Source organism: Homo sapiens, chromosome 19, assembly GCF_000001405.40.
Source record: "Homo sapiens chromosome 19, GRCh38.p14 Primary Assembly".
NCBI lineage: Eukaryota > Metazoa > Chordata > Mammalia > Primates > Hominidae > Homo > Homo sapiens.
Genome location: NC_000019.10, coordinates 1,666,742 through 1,680,859, shown reverse-complemented (window position 1 = coordinate 1,680,859; position 14,118 = coordinate 1,666,742). Strand labels below are relative to the sequence as shown.

At 59.0% G+C, this 14,118-nt stretch overlaps 6 annotated features.

Annotated features, from left to right (window-relative positions):
* Positions 7,959-8,486: an enhancer, noted in NCBI's record as "H3K27ac-H3K4me1 hESC enhancer chr19:1672373-1672900 (GRCh37/hg19 assembly coordinates)". NCBI's record gives its function as "activates a minimal SCP1, AML or CMV promoter by ChIP-STARR-seq in primed H9 embryonic stem cells {active_cell/tissue: H9 hESC(primed)}" and the evidence as "EXISTENCE:reporter gene assay evidence [ECO:0000049][PMID:30033119]".
* Positions 7,959-9,010: a biological region, named in NCBI's record as "H3K27ac-H3K4me1 hESC enhancer GRCh37_chr19:1672373-1672900".
* Positions 8,311-9,010: a silencer, noted in NCBI's record as "silent region_9742". NCBI's record gives its function as "represses an Ori minimal core promoter by ATAC-STARR-seq in GM12878 lymphoblastoid cells {active_cell/tissue: GM12878}" and the evidence as "EXISTENCE:reporter gene assay evidence [ECO:0000049][PMID:35858748]".
* Positions 11,166-11,916: an enhancer, noted in NCBI's record as "H3K4me1 hESC enhancer chr19:1668943-1669693 (GRCh37/hg19 assembly coordinates)". NCBI's record gives its function as "activates a minimal SCP1, AML or CMV promoter by ChIP-STARR-seq in primed H9 embryonic stem cells {active_cell/tissue: H9 hESC(primed)}" and the evidence as "EXISTENCE:reporter gene assay evidence [ECO:0000049][PMID:30033119]".
* Positions 12,853-12,902: a silencer, noted in NCBI's record as "silent region_9741". NCBI's record gives its function as "represses an Ori minimal core promoter by ATAC-STARR-seq in GM12878 lymphoblastoid cells {active_cell/tissue: GM12878}" and the evidence as "EXISTENCE:reporter gene assay evidence [ECO:0000049][PMID:35858748]".
* Positions 13,289-13,789: an enhancer, noted in NCBI's record as "H3K4me1 hESC enhancer chr19:1667070-1667570 (GRCh37/hg19 assembly coordinates)". NCBI's record gives its function as "activates a minimal SCP1, AML or CMV promoter by ChIP-STARR-seq in primed H9 embryonic stem cells {active_cell/tissue: H9 hESC(primed)}" and the evidence as "EXISTENCE:reporter gene assay evidence [ECO:0000049][PMID:30033119]".

The following is a 14,118-nucleotide window of genomic DNA, read 5'->3' as shown; positions in this document are numbered from 1 at the left end:
TACTCCCAGCACTTTGGGAGGCTGAGGCAGGAGGATCACCTGAGGTCAGGAGTTCGAGACCAGCCTGACCAACATGGTGAAACCCCCATCTCTACTAAAGATACAAAAATTAGCCAGGCGTGGTGGCGCATGCCTGTAATCCTAGCTACTCAAGAGGCTGAGGCAGGAGAACTGCTTGAACCTGGGAGGCAGAGGATGTAGTGAGCCAAGGCTGCACCATTGCACTCCAGCCTGGGTGACAAGAGTGCCCAGAGCTTTGGGAGGCCAAGACGGGAGGATCACTTGAGTCCAGGAGTTCAAGACCAGTCTGGGCAACATAGGAAGACCCCATCTCTCTCTCTCTTTTTTTTTTTTTTTTTTAAATTTTTTTTAGACTGAGTCTTTCTCTGTTGCCCAGGCTGGAGTGCAACGGCGTGATCTCGGCTCACTGCAACCTCCACTTCCCAGGTTGAAGTGATTCTCCTGCCTCAGCCTCCTTAGTAGCTGGGCTTACAGGCACGCGCCACCATGCCCGGCTAATTTGCAAAATCCTATCTCTAAAAAAAAAAAAAAGAAGGGAAAAAGAAACAAGGAAACATGACTCTGTTCACAACAGCCTCCTGTGGCTCCCAGTGCACCCCAGAAAAAGACCCACGTCCTCAACGCAGCCCACGGGACCCTGCATGGCCCAGCCTCCAGCTCCAGTGTCCGGTCTTGCTTCCCCACAGCCTGGTTCCGGCCTCAGGGCGCTGTCCTCCTCCTTCCTGTACCAGAAGTGCTGTCTACTCTCTGAGCTCCTGCTCACCTCAGGCCACAGCTCAAGTGTCCCCTCCTCCAGGAAGCCCTCCCTGACCCCAGCCCGTGTTGGGCCCTTGGCAGCTGCCCCGGGGGGTCGCTTCTCTGCCTGCCGGCCCCACCCTGGGCTATACTGCTGTATTTAGGGGTCCTTTTGTTGAATGCACCTCCTTTTTTTTTGGGGTGCACTGGCATGATCTCGGCTCACTGCAAGCTCCACCTCCTGGGTTCACACCATTCTGCCTCAGCCTCCTGAGTAGCTGGGACTACAGGCACCCGCCACCACGCCCGGCTAATTTTTTGTATTTTCAGTAGAGATGGGGTTTCACCGTATTAGCCAGGATAGTCTCGATCTCGTGACCTCATGATCCGCCCACCTCGGCCTCCCAAAGTGCTGGGATTACAGGCATGAGCCACCACGCCTGGCCAGAATGAACCTCCTTCTTTGCCCTGAAGCCTGGGAGGGCAGGACAGGACCTGGCCGGATCACTGCTGGGTCGGGCATGGAGTTGGCTTTAGGGAAGTGCGTTGAGGAGTGGATAGGACCAAAGCCTCCTACAGACCCCGGCCTCAGTTTCCCCATCTGTCCAGCGGGAAGTGACCCTGACCAGGCGCCTGCCCCCTTCACGCTCATGACGATGCTCCTGGCAGGGACGTGCAGGCCGAGCCCCTTCCTGCGCCTGCCTTCATCAAGGCTGGAAAGAGGGCCAGGAACCAGCATGGGAGCACCTGGGGGGATGCCATGGGGGAGGTGGTCCCAGCCCCAGCCCCTGGCCTGAGGCATCTCCACACCCTGCAGACAACGAGAGGGACGCCCGGGCGCGGGAGCCTTTAGCCGCCTTTAGCCCTCCTCCGGCACCTGTACCCTGCCTGTGCCTCAGTTTCCCCAGAAGATGGGGGGTCTCTGCGGGGATCTGGCAGAAGTGAGGTGAGGCCTGAGGGGCTGGTCCTGGTTGGCTCATTTATTCTCTTCTCCCAGCTCTAGGGTGTCCACCTTCGATGGGTGCTGGGCTTTTATGAAGTCCTAGGCTGGGGGGACCAAGCCAGACACCGACCCTCCCAGATTTCAAGGGCAGGGCAGGGCTCAGAGAGGGCAGCGGCTGGCCAAGGCCATGCGGCCTGCTCGGGTCAGGGGACAGGGTGGAGCTGGGGCACCCAGGAGCTTCTCAAGTCTCTACCTGTCCAGCACCAAGGCCCACCAGGGCCCCATGAGGCCCTTCCCGGCAGGAGTGGGGGCACTTGGAGAGACCACAGCTGAGGGCTCCTGAGGCGGGTGGGGAGGGGGCCAGGGAGCTGGGAAGGGGAGAGATGTGGCTCCGGAGTCAGGGGGAGGAGAGGGCCAGAGACAGAGATAGGAGCATGGAGAGAGATGGAGAGACAAAGAGAGAGACAGAGACAGAGAGAGGGACTGGGGGACGAGGAGAGAGGGTCGAAGAGATAGAGATGAAGAAAGAGTAAGAGACAGAGACATGGAGATAGGGAGACAGAAAAGATGGAAAGAGAGAGACACAAAGGGAGAGGGAGACAGAGACAGTGGCAGAGATGGAAGAGAGAGACACAGAGAGACAGAGATGGAGAGAGGTGAAGATGGAGAGAGAGACACAAAGGGAGAGAGAGAGAGACAGAGAGACAGAGATGGAGAGAGGTGAAGATGGAGAGAGAGACACAAAGGGAGAGAGAGAGAGACAGAGAGACAGAGATGGAGAGAGATGAAGATGGAGAGAGACAAAAAGGGAGAGAGGGAGAGACAGTGGCAGAGATGGAATAGAGACAGAGAGAGACAGAGATGGAGACAGTGATGGAGAGAAAGAGGCAAAGATTAAGAAAGAGTAAGAGACAGAGACATGGAGAGAGACAGAAAGAGATGGAGATGGAGAGAAGGAAAGAGAGAGATAGAGAGGGAGACAGTGGCAGAGATGGAAAAAGAGAGATGAAGAGAGAGAGAAGGAGAGAGACAGAGGAGAGAGACACAGGCTCGCCCTTCTGGATGTCCGGCATTGGGGGGCTGCAGGGGAGACTCTGGGGGGACACGGGTGGGCCCCCCATCCCTGCTCTGGCCCTGCCCAGAGGCTGAGACACCCTGGCAACCCTCTCCAGCAGAAGGAATCACCTGCCTCGACCCCTAAGTGTGACCTCCCTGACATTCCTCTCCTGAGCTCCCTCCTCTCCTGTCCTCCCCACCATGGCGGGGTCCTCGCCCAGCTGGTCCCTACTGAAGAGGTCCCAGGTGGTACCGTGTGGTTGTAGCTCAAGCCAGCCACATCCCCTCCTTCTGCCTGCAACCTGGAGGGTGAGTCTTGGCCTCCTGTCTCCTCATGAAAGCTCTGTGCCTCGGTTTCCTCCCATTCAGAGCCTCAGAAGTACAAGCCCCGGCCCCTTTCCTAGGAAACAACCTAAGGTTCAGACACAGATGGGCCTGGCTGGGAGGGGTGGCTCACACCTGTCATCCCAGCACTTTGGGAGGCTGAGGCGGGCAGATCACCTGAGGTCAGGAGTTCGAGACAAGCCTGGCCAACATGGTGAAACCCCCCCTCTCTACTAAAAATACAAAAACTAGCCGGGTGTGGAGGCGGGTGCCTGTAGTCCCAGCTACTCAGGAGGCTGAGGCAGGAGAATCGCTTGAACCCAGGAGATGGAGGTTGCAGAGAGCTGAGATCATGCCACTGCACTCCAGCCTGGGCAACAGACCAAGACTCTGTCTGAGAAAAAAAAAAAAAAAGACACAGTTGGGTCTGGGTTTACAATCTCATCTTCTGGGCTCTGCGGCCTCAGACAAGGCCCTCCACCCCCCAGATCCTCAGTTTCCCCCTCTGTAGACTAGGCCAGTCATATTTCCTGCCTCACAGGCTGCTGAGAGGATGAAGAAGGTAGTTGGGGCATACAGTCGGTGCTCCATAATGTTAGGAACGATGGAAGGATAGAGGTTTTCAGGGACGATGGGGCAGGAAGGGTCATTGAGACCCAAGTGAAGTCCAGTCTAAGTGGTTTGTATTTACTGCTATTGCAAAATACTGTCATTTGGTCAATCAACAAACGTTGACTGTGGGACCACTGGACTGGGTCTCTGGGGGTGCATCAGGGTGAATGTGGGTGGGCATTGGAACCAGCTCCTACTGTGCCACAATTGGCAGGGGGACGGTTCAGGGCCTGGCACACAGCAGGTGTTCAACGAATGCGTGCTTGCCCACCCTCCAGCCCCCCGTGGGCATGGGGTCACATGTGGGAGCAAACGACCGCGGAGTGGAAGGGAAGCTGGTCCTGTCCACTGCCCACCAGCCCCCGACTCAAGCTCATGGGCCCGGGGCCTTTCTGCTGAGGCGTCAGAAGTTGGTGGTGGAAGGGCCTCCTCCTGCCCCCACCCATCCGCTGGCCCATCCTTTCCTCCCACACTCAAGGGTTCATCTGCTTCAGCTCAGGCACCTACCAGAGGCCTTGGCGGATGCAGAAGGGGTCACAGTGGATGGAGGGGCTGGTCCCCAACTCCCCCCACAACCCATCCCTTCCCTTCCTTCTACGGTGACCCTACTAGGGAGGCTCCCAGGAGCGAGCCGGGGGCCCGCCTGTCCCGGTTCGGCCCCTCTGGCTTGTTTGAGCTCCGGCCTCAGTTTCCCCATCTGTATAATGGGACCAGGGCCTCTGCCACTCTAAGTGTTGGGGTGAGGATCTGAGACAACGCACATAAAGGCTTGGTGGCACGGCAGGAGCGAGTCAGGAGCACGGATATTCATTATCACCATCATCATCATCCGCGACTCTATTTTTATGCGAAACGCTAATCGGATTAATAGGCCCCGCGCATGCGCGGCACACACTAGGCGCTCAATAAATGCAGCTGAACAAATAAACCCGTCTTCCTGGGTATGCGGCCTCGCAGAAAGGCGCACCCCTCTCTGCGCCTCAATTTCCAAACCCAAAACACAAAATGGGGGCCCCAGTTACCCATCCCCCGTTCCCGGGAGCGCTGGGCCGCGCCGCACCGGGACGCCCCCCCCACCGGGAACGAGCCCCCTCCCAGGCCCCTGGCCCAGCGCCCTTCGGGGAACCGTTTACAAGAAGCGGCGCGCTTCCCCCGCGCGGCCCCCGCCAGGCTGCCGTTCCCAGCCGGGATAATCTAATCGCGTTTCCAAGGCTGCGATCGATAACCCCGAGGCGGCGCCAAAACGAGGCTCTTAAAGGGCCAGCAGCCCCGCCCGGGCCGGCGGGGAGGGGGCCGTGAGGTGGGGACAGGCTTTGCGCGTCTGCGCCCCCCGGCCGGCCCCCACCTCCAGGCTGTGTGGCCCTAGGCAGGCAGCCTGACCTCTCTGAGCTGCAGTGCCGCAGCCGGAAAACGAGGTCCCCGGAGGCCAAGGGCAAATCTATTCCCTATCTGCGTCTTCCCCCATTGCCCGGATGGGGAAACTGAGGCTTGGGAAAGGAAGAGAGCAGCCTGAGCTAGGTTCTGCAGGCGATCCCACCCTCTCCCGCCTCTGGCCCCCCAAGACCCTGCCGCCCCTCCTGCCCCAGAATCCATACAAACGTCTTCAGCATGCCAGTCCTCCCGGGCCGGCTCACCGACCTGCCGCGGGACGCCTGGTGGCCCCACCCGGGCTGTGCCGCCCCGAGGAGGTGTCCCCAGCGCCCCACCGAGGAGGGGGGGCCAGCTTCTCCCGTGTGCTTGGAGGGTCCTCTCCCTGCCTAGCCTGCCCACCTGTTCCCCAAAGGGAAAAACCTCAGGGCACCTTCTTCCTTCTGCCCTGGTGACTGGAATGCGGAGCTGCCCAGAGAGACAAAGATGGAAGCTTCCAGAAATGGCAATGGTGGAATCTTCTAGAAGCAGCAGTGGTGGACTGCCCAGGAGCTATAGTGGTGACCTTTATTTATTTATTTATTTACTTATTTATTTTGAGACGGAGTCTCGCTCTGTCGCCCAGGCTGGAGTGCAGTGGCGCCATCTCGGCTCACTGCAAGCCCCGCCTCCCGGGTTCACGCCATTCTCCTGCCTCAGCCTCCCTAGTAGCTGGGACTACAGGCGCCCGCCACCACGCCCGGCTAATGTTTTTTGTATTTTTAGTAGAGACGGGGTTTCACCGTGGTCTCGATCTCCTGACCTCGTGATCCGCCCGCCTCGGCCTCCCAAAGTGCTGGGATTACAAGCGTGAGCCACCGCGCCCGGCCAGTAATAGTGACTTCTTTTCTGGTTGGTCCCCAGCCCTGACCACTGCCTGGCCCAGCGGCCTGAGGCCAGTGTCTTCGGGGCGTGTAAATTGGGATGAGGGCAGCGTTGTCCTTTCTCACCGTCAGCCCAGGGACTGTGTCTCCCACGCACTGGGCTCTCCAAAGGACTGTCCTGGACTGGACCCGGAGTCCAGACATCAGAGAGGCTGTGCCTCAAGGGAAACTGAGGCCCAGGGAGGGTCACACGCAGTGTGTGGCCCAGGGCTCGCCGGACCTTTGGCCCTGCTGACCCTCTCAACAGGGACCGGCTCACCCTATCTGAGTCCTGCCACCCCTGCTCCAGCCAAAGGACCCCCCCTGTCCTACACACACTGGGTCCCTCCCGGGAAGCCAGGCCTGACCCCACTTCCTTGTCACCTTCCGGGTCCGGGGTCGGGGCTGCAGGGGTGAGAGGAGATTGATCCAGCAGACGACCTTGTGGCCACTGTTGCCAAGGAGATGGCCCTTGGGGGCTGTGTGGGTGGCCAGGGCCAGGGAGTGACAGAGGGACAGAGGGAGGGAGGGATGAAGGAAAGGAGGGAGGGACAGAGGGGAGGGAGAGACAGAGAGGGAGGGAGGGAGGGAGGGAGGCACCAGCAGTGGGTACGGTCCTCACATCAGAGCCTCCTGGGCAGCTGGTTGGCTATGTTGACACAGCCTGGGAACCAGCATTCACCCCTCCCTGGCGGTCTGCCATTGACTAACCGCCATTGGGCTCCTGTCTACAGGCTTGGCTTGGAAATGAGACGCAGCTGCCACCACCCAAGTTCACCCAGGAGGGCTGGGAGCCTGGGAGCTGGCACCTGGTCTGCTCTCCAAGGTAGCTTCTGGTCCATTCACCCCCAGGACTGGGGTAGGTATCCTAGAAGTGGGGCCCATGTTCCAGGGCCCCACAGGATGAATAGGAGTTTGCCAGGTGGAGAGGGAACGGTAAAGAGGAGGGAGGCGGCCCGCTCATCCAGCCCCACCACTGGAGAGGAAGGGGTGAGTGAGTGTCAGGAGGGTCTCTGCTTGGCAGGCTCTGTGACAGGGGAACCTCTGGCTGAGGCCAGCTGGTGACTGCTGGGTTTGTGGGAGCTGAGCATGGATTTCCCATAGCGACGGGAGCTGCTGGGCCCGGCTGAAGGACGGTTAGGCTTCTGACCTGGTTACCGCGTGCCGGCTGGATACCAGAGATCAGGGTGCAGCCGTGGACCCCAGACACGGCCCTGCCTCCTAAGAGCTCTGCATCTCTTGGGGGCACAGGCAGCAGCTGGGGCTGACTGGGGACCGGACCCAGAAGCCACCACAGCAGGAAGAGGGTGCGGGTGCAGGAGGCTGCAGCCACTGAAGTGGGGGAGATCGAGTGGAGAGCTGGGGGTTGGGGCAGACCAGGGAGAGGCTGACTGGGGGCGACCTGGACCCTTTGGCTGCAGGGATCGGCTCACAGGGCCAGGGGGTTTGGGGCAGTGGAGCTGTGGGAGGGCCCTGGGGTATGTGGGGCCTGACTCAGGGGTGTCCTGTAGGACCCAGTCCATAAGGGGCCATTGCACTCAGGGACGCCAGCATGGGCTGTGGCTGTGAGTGCGCCCACATGCACACACACAAACATGCGCAAGCACACCAGAACACGCAAACACACGCGTTTACCAGGACACACATGTGCAGATACAGCAGGCCGCACATGAGAAGGTGTATGTGTGAACCTTCCTGGCACATACGTGCCCATGCGTGCACATGTATAAACGGGACTGACCATGTACAAACACACCTGAGCTCGTGGCAACGAGCGAACATGTCACAGCCTCTGTGTGCACCCACACGGACATGCCAGCACACGCATGCAAACCTGTGTATAGGAGTGAGCACACATGCTAGAATGCACACGAGCATGCGAGAACACGCATAAGCATGCCCCGTATACATCACGTGTGGCACACCTGAATCTACGTGAACACTGTTCATTCAGAAACACACCAACCACACAGGACCACGTGTGCCTCGGGTCAAAATGCCTGAGCCGGCCAGGCGCGGTGGCTCATGCCTGTCATCCCAGCACCTTGGGAGGCCGAGGTGGGCGGATGACAAGGTCAGGAGTTGGGGACCAGCCTGACCAACATGGTGAAACCCTAGCTCTACTAAAAATACAAAAATTAGCTGGGCGTGGTGGCACGTGCCTGTAGTCCCAGCTACTCTGGAGGCTGAGGCAGGAGAATCGTTTGAACCAGGGAGGTGGAGGTTGCCGTGAGCCGAGATCGCGCCACTGCACCCCAGCCTGAGTGACAGAGCGAGACTCCGTCTCAAAAAAATAAAAATAAAATAAAAATTAAAAAAAGCCCGAGCCGCGAGGCACTGGGGTAGCCGCGGATGCACGTGTGAGCGCGCACGTGGGGAGCGCCCGCGGGTTTCTGGGCTGCGGGCGCGCCCTGGTGGACGCCAGACCCGCTGCAGCTCTGTCCCTGGAAGGGGGTCCCAGTCCCACCTCCCTCGGTCTGGGCGTCACGCAGGGGTAAGAAGGGGACGGGACGGGGACAACACCAGAAGACCCAGGGAAGGCAGCCCGCAGGACCCCCATCATCCAGCTCCCTCCATTCTTCCCATGACGCGCCCGAGTTTGGGGGAGTCTGGCGAAGCTCCGTGTCCCCCACCCCTGGCGTCCCGAGCGGGGGCCGCGGCTTTCCTGAGCCCACCTCCCCCAGCGCAGGGTGGGCTCCGTGGGGTGGGGGCCCCGACGCCCGGGGAGGACCCGCGGCCTTGCCCCATTGGCCACCAGGTGGCAGCACGCGCGCCCGACTGAACCCCAGGACCAGCGAGGCCCCCGCGCCCCACCCCATGCACCCCCGGACCACAGGGAGGGGAGGGGTCTGGGGAGGACCCCGGGGGGCCGTGAGCACCAGCCTCGCCGCTCTATGCCTCGGTTTCCCCACCTCCCAGGGAGAGGGAGAATAACTGAACACACAGGCGTGGTGAAGTCACCAGGAGGGCTTCCCTGGGGAGGTGGGGTTGAAGGAAAAGGCACCAATGGTGAAGAAGAGCAGGCCGGGTACGGGACGCGGCAGGTGCAGAGGGCCGGGGGAGGGCGCGGTGGGGGCGAAGGGAACTGAGTCCTGAGCCTGGGCGGGATTGTGGGGTGGGGTTTGGAGGCAAAGGTCCCAGGTTTCCGATCTGAGCGCAGGAGGTGAGGACAAGGGCAGGATTTAGGGTCTACCTAGGACAGAGAATACAAAGGTTTGTTTTGATTTTTTTTTAAAGTGATATTCTTGGCCGGTAAATATTCTTACTATCCTCAGCCTCGATGGGTAAAATCCAAAGGTTTTAAGATACTCGGAACTTGAATTCACAGCTTTCCAAATATGGGATTCTCAGGATGGAGCCAATTGGAGAAAATTCCAGAATCCCAGTTCCCCTGGCCAATGCCAGCGTTGATGCCCAAATGCAAGAGTGGCAAAGACAGGGCGTGATGGCTCACACTTGTAATCCCAGCACTTTAGGTGGCTGAGGCAGAAGGCTCATTTAAGCCCAGGAGTTCGAGACCAGCCTGAGAAACATAGCAAGACCCCTGTCCTACAAAAATGTATTTATTTATTTATTTTTGAGACGGAGTTTCACTCTGTCGCCCAGACTGGAGTGCAGTAGCGATCTTGGCTCACTGCAACCTCTGCTTCCTGGGTTCAAGCGATTCTCCCTGCCTCAGCCTCCCGAGTAGCTGGGATTACACGCACGTGCCACCATGCCCAGCTAATTTTTGTATTTTTAGTAGAGAAGGGGTTCCCCTATGTTGGTCAGGCTGGTCTCCAACTCCTGATCTCAAGTGACCCACCAGCCTCTGCCTCCCGAAGTGCTGGGATTACAGGCGTGAGCCACGGCACCCAAACTCAAAATTTTAAATAATTAGGCTAGTGTGGTGGTACACGCCTGTGGTCCGAGCCACGTGGGAGGTGGGAGGATCACTTGAGCCAGGAGGTGGAGGCTGCAGTGAGCTATGATTGCACCACCGCACTCCAGCTTGGGTAACAGAGCAAGATCCTGCCTCAAAAGAGAAGAAAAAGAGTGGGCCGGGCGCGGTGGCTCATGCCTGTAATCCCAGCATTTTGGGAGGCCGAGGTGGGCGGATCTCCTGAGGTCGGGAGTTCGAGACCAGCCTTGCCAACATGGTGAAACTACTAAAAATACAAAAAGTTAGCCGGGCATGGGCCGGGCGCGGTGGCTCACACCTATAATCCCAGCACTTTGGGAGGCCGAGGCAGGCGGATCGCCTGAGGTCAGGAGTTCGAGACCATCCTGGCTAACAAGGTGAAACTCCGTCTCTACTAAAAAAAAATTCAAAAAATTAGCCAGGCATAGTGGTGGGCGCCTGTAGTCCCAGCTACTCGCAAGGCTGAGGCAGGAGAATGGCGTGAACCCGGGAGGCAGAGCTTGCAGTGAGCTGAGATCGCGCCACTGCACTCCAACCTGGGCGACTGAGCAAAACTCCGTCTCAAAAAACAAACAAACAAAAATTAGCTGGGCATAGTGGCGCACACCTGTAATCCCAGCTACTCGGGAGGCTGAGGCAGGAGAATCACTTGAACCCGGGAGGCGGAGGTTGCAGTGAGCCAAGATTGTGCCACTGCACTCCAGCTTGGGCAACAAGAGCGAAAGAAAGAAAGAAAGAGAGAGAGAGAGAGAGAGAGACGAGGGAGGGAAGGGAGGGAAGGAAGGGAAGGAAAGGAACGAAAGAGAGAGAGAGAGGGGAGGGAGGGAAGGGAGGGAAGGAAGGGAAGGAAGAGAAGGAAAGGAAGGAAAGGAAAGGGGGGGGAAGGGAGGGAAGGAAGGGAAGGAAAGGAAGGAAAGGAAAGAGAGAGAGAGGGGAGGGAGGGAAGGAAGGGAAGAAAAGAAAGAGAGAGAGAGAAGGGGGAGGGAGGGAAGGGAAGGAAGGGAAGGAGAGAGAGAGAGAGAAGCGAGGGAAGGGAGGGAAGGAAGGGAAGGAAGGGAAGGAAAGGAAAGAGAGAGAGAGAGAGGGGAGGGAGGGAAGGAAGGGGAGGAAAGGAAGGAAAGGAAAGGAAAGAGAGAGAGAGAGAGGGGAGGGAGGGAAGGAAAGGAAGGAAAGGAAAGAGAGAGAGAGCGAGAGAGAGAGAGAGGAGAGAGGGGAGGGAGGGAAGGAAAGGAAGGAAAGGAAAGAAAGGAAAGAAAGAGAGAGAGAGAGAGAGGAGAGAGAGGAGAGAGAGGGGAGGGAGGGGAGGGAGGGAAGGAAGGGAAGGAAAGGAAAGAAAGGAAAGAGAGAGAGGGGAGGGAGGGAAGGGAGGGAAGGAAGGGAAGGAAAGAAAGGAAAGAGAGAGCGAGAGAGAGAGAGCGAGAGAGAGAGAGAGAGAGAGAGAGAGAGAGAGAGAGAGAGGAGGGAGGGGAGGGAGGGAAGGGAAGGAAAGAAAGATAGAGTGGCAGAGACTCTGTGATTCCTGTGAGCCCCAGAGGCAGGGACCCCATAATCCCCAAGGGTCCCTGCAGCTCCCAGAGGCAGGGGCCGCTCCCAGGGCAGAGACCCTGTAACCTGTAACCTGAGGGCCAGCACCCCCCAGGCCAGGTGAGGAAGGCCCCGGTCCTCACCCCCTCACCGCCTCCGTAGTTTCAGAGCTACTGCACCTTTAAAATCATGTGCCAAAATTAGCAGCTCTGCTGTCATTAATATGCAAAAATGCAAATCAGGAACTGATTAAGCCCCAGCCCCAGAGGATGTTTCTACAGTGATGAATTCTATTGTCTGCGAGGGTGGTGGGTGGATGTGCTGGCGAGGGGGGATCAGGGGTGTAGATCCCGGAAGGGAGGGTCCTTGGGGGGAGTCCCAGCTCCGCCCCCCTAGTGCACACACAGCCCCTCCCAGCTGCCCTCCCCAGGACCAGTGGGTACGGGCAACTGGGCCAGGTTCCCTGTGTGACGGGGGAGTGTGGCTGGGGGTGGCCCGGGGAGGGACTCTCAGGGCCCTCACCCTGCCTGCTCCTAACCCGGGGAGGGACTCTCAGGGCCCTCACCCTGCCTGCTCCTCCACCCGGGATTCCCCTGGCCTCTGCCTGCAGAGTTTCAAATGCCTGTAAGGCGATTCCTTCGAAATTCTCCTTCCCCATCTGGCTGGGAGCCCCGACGGGCTGAGACCTCTGCCCTGTGGTTCCCCAGAGCACCGCTCTGAGAGGGCTCTGCAAACACCCTGCATGTGGGGAAATGCAGGCTCACAGGGGGAGCGATGCGCACAGGGTCCCCAGCCCGTGAGAGGGTCCTGGGCTCCTCCCGGTGGGTAGAGACCTTCATGCCAGCACAGAGGTGCTGGCTGACGCAGGGGTGCAGGCAGCAGGGAGTGGGGTGGAGCGGGAGGTCTGGAAGAGAGGGTGCAGCAGTGTAACCAGCCCCTGTCCGGGCCAGTCAGGGGAGTCCCCAGTGTGAAGGGGAAGGAGAGAGAGGCAGAGACAGAGGGAGACAGAGAGGCAGAGAGAGACAGAGAAAAAGACAAGAGATAGGAACAGAAAGAGAAGGAGACAGAGAAGCAGAGAAGGAGACAGAGAAGAACAGAAACAGACAAAGAGACAGAGAGATAGAGATACAGAGAGGCAGAGAGAGAGACAGGCAGAGAAACAGAGAGACAGAGAGGCAGAGAGACAGGCAGAGAGAGACAGAAAGAGATAAAGAGAAACAGAGAGACAACGAGAGAGATGGAGACAGAGAGAGATGGAGACACACACAGACACAGAGAGACTGACAGAGACAGAGGGACAGAAAGAGATACGCAGAGACAGAAAGAAACAGAGACAGAGACAAAAAGACAGACAGAGATGGGGAAGAGAAAGAGACAGAGACAGGGAGGCTGACACAGAGAGAGCACAGAGAAAGAAGACAGAGAGAAACAGACAGAAAGAGACAGAGACAGAGAGACAAAGACAGAGATGGAGACCAACCGAGAAAGGCTGAGGGGGACTCAGAAGGGGACCCAGAGGCAGCGTGAGCCGACCCAGCGCCCTCCCTCTGCACAGGCTCCAGCTGGCCTGGGGCCAGCCACCAGCTGCTGCCTCCCGCCCACCCTCCCCCACTGCCAGAGCCCCAGCTGCCACCGCCACACACACGGCCACCCTTTGGCGGCCCCACCAGCTGCCCCGGGACCCCACGGCGCCCTGGGCCAGGAGGAAATACCTTCGCCTGGGCCGGGGCTCCCAGATGCCTGTCAGGCCGCCCTCTTCGGAGCCTCAGTTTCCTCACCTGTAAGATGGGGAACCCCCCAACTTAGCCTGTGCATTTATGGAGCACCTACTGTGTGTCAGGCCCCAGATGGATGCTGGAGGTGTGGGGCGGCCAGGCTGGGCCCGGGGCTCCCCTTACAGAGCCAGGCAAGCCCCACAGGCGCAAGGGGGAGAAACAGGGGCCTGAGAGTGGGAGGAACGATAAACTGATGATACACCGGCAAAGGGGCCTGAGAGTGGGGAGGAACGGCTCCCGGCCGAGGGACATCCTGGGCACAGACCCTGAGGTCACAGGGAGAAAACGGTGTCCAAGCAGCAGCGAGGAGGTGGCCAGCGCAGCTGGAGGGAGGTGGGCAGAGGGGGCTCGGGAGGCCGGACATGGAGGGCAGTGGAGTCCTCCGAGACAAAATAAAGCTCAGGGTCGGCCGGGCACGGCGGCTCACGCCTGTAATCCCAGCACTTTGGGAGGCCGAGGCGAGCAGATCACGAGGTCAGGAGATCGAGACCATCCTGGCTAACATGGTGAAACCCCATCTCTACTAAAAATACAAAAAATTAGCCAGGCGTGGTGTCAGGCGCCTGTAGTCCCAGCTACTCGGGAGGCTGAGGCAGGAGAATGGCATGAACCCGGGAGGCGGAGCTTGCAGTGAGCTAAGATGGCACCGCTGCACTCCAGCCTGGGCGACAGAGCGAGACTCCGTCTCAAAAAAAAAAAAAAAAAAAAAGTTCAGGGTCAGCCAGGCCAGGGCGTTCCCACCTGGGATCCCAGTGCTGTGGGAGACTGAAGTGGAGGATTCCTTGAGGCCAGGAGTTTGAGACCAGCCTGGGCAACACAGCAAGACCCCCCTCTACACAAAAAATAAAAATCAGCAGGGTGTGGTCAGGTGCAGTGGCTCACGCCTGTAATCCCAGCACTTTGGGAGGCCGAGACAGGTGGATCACGAGGTCAGGATATCGAGACCATCCTGGCTAA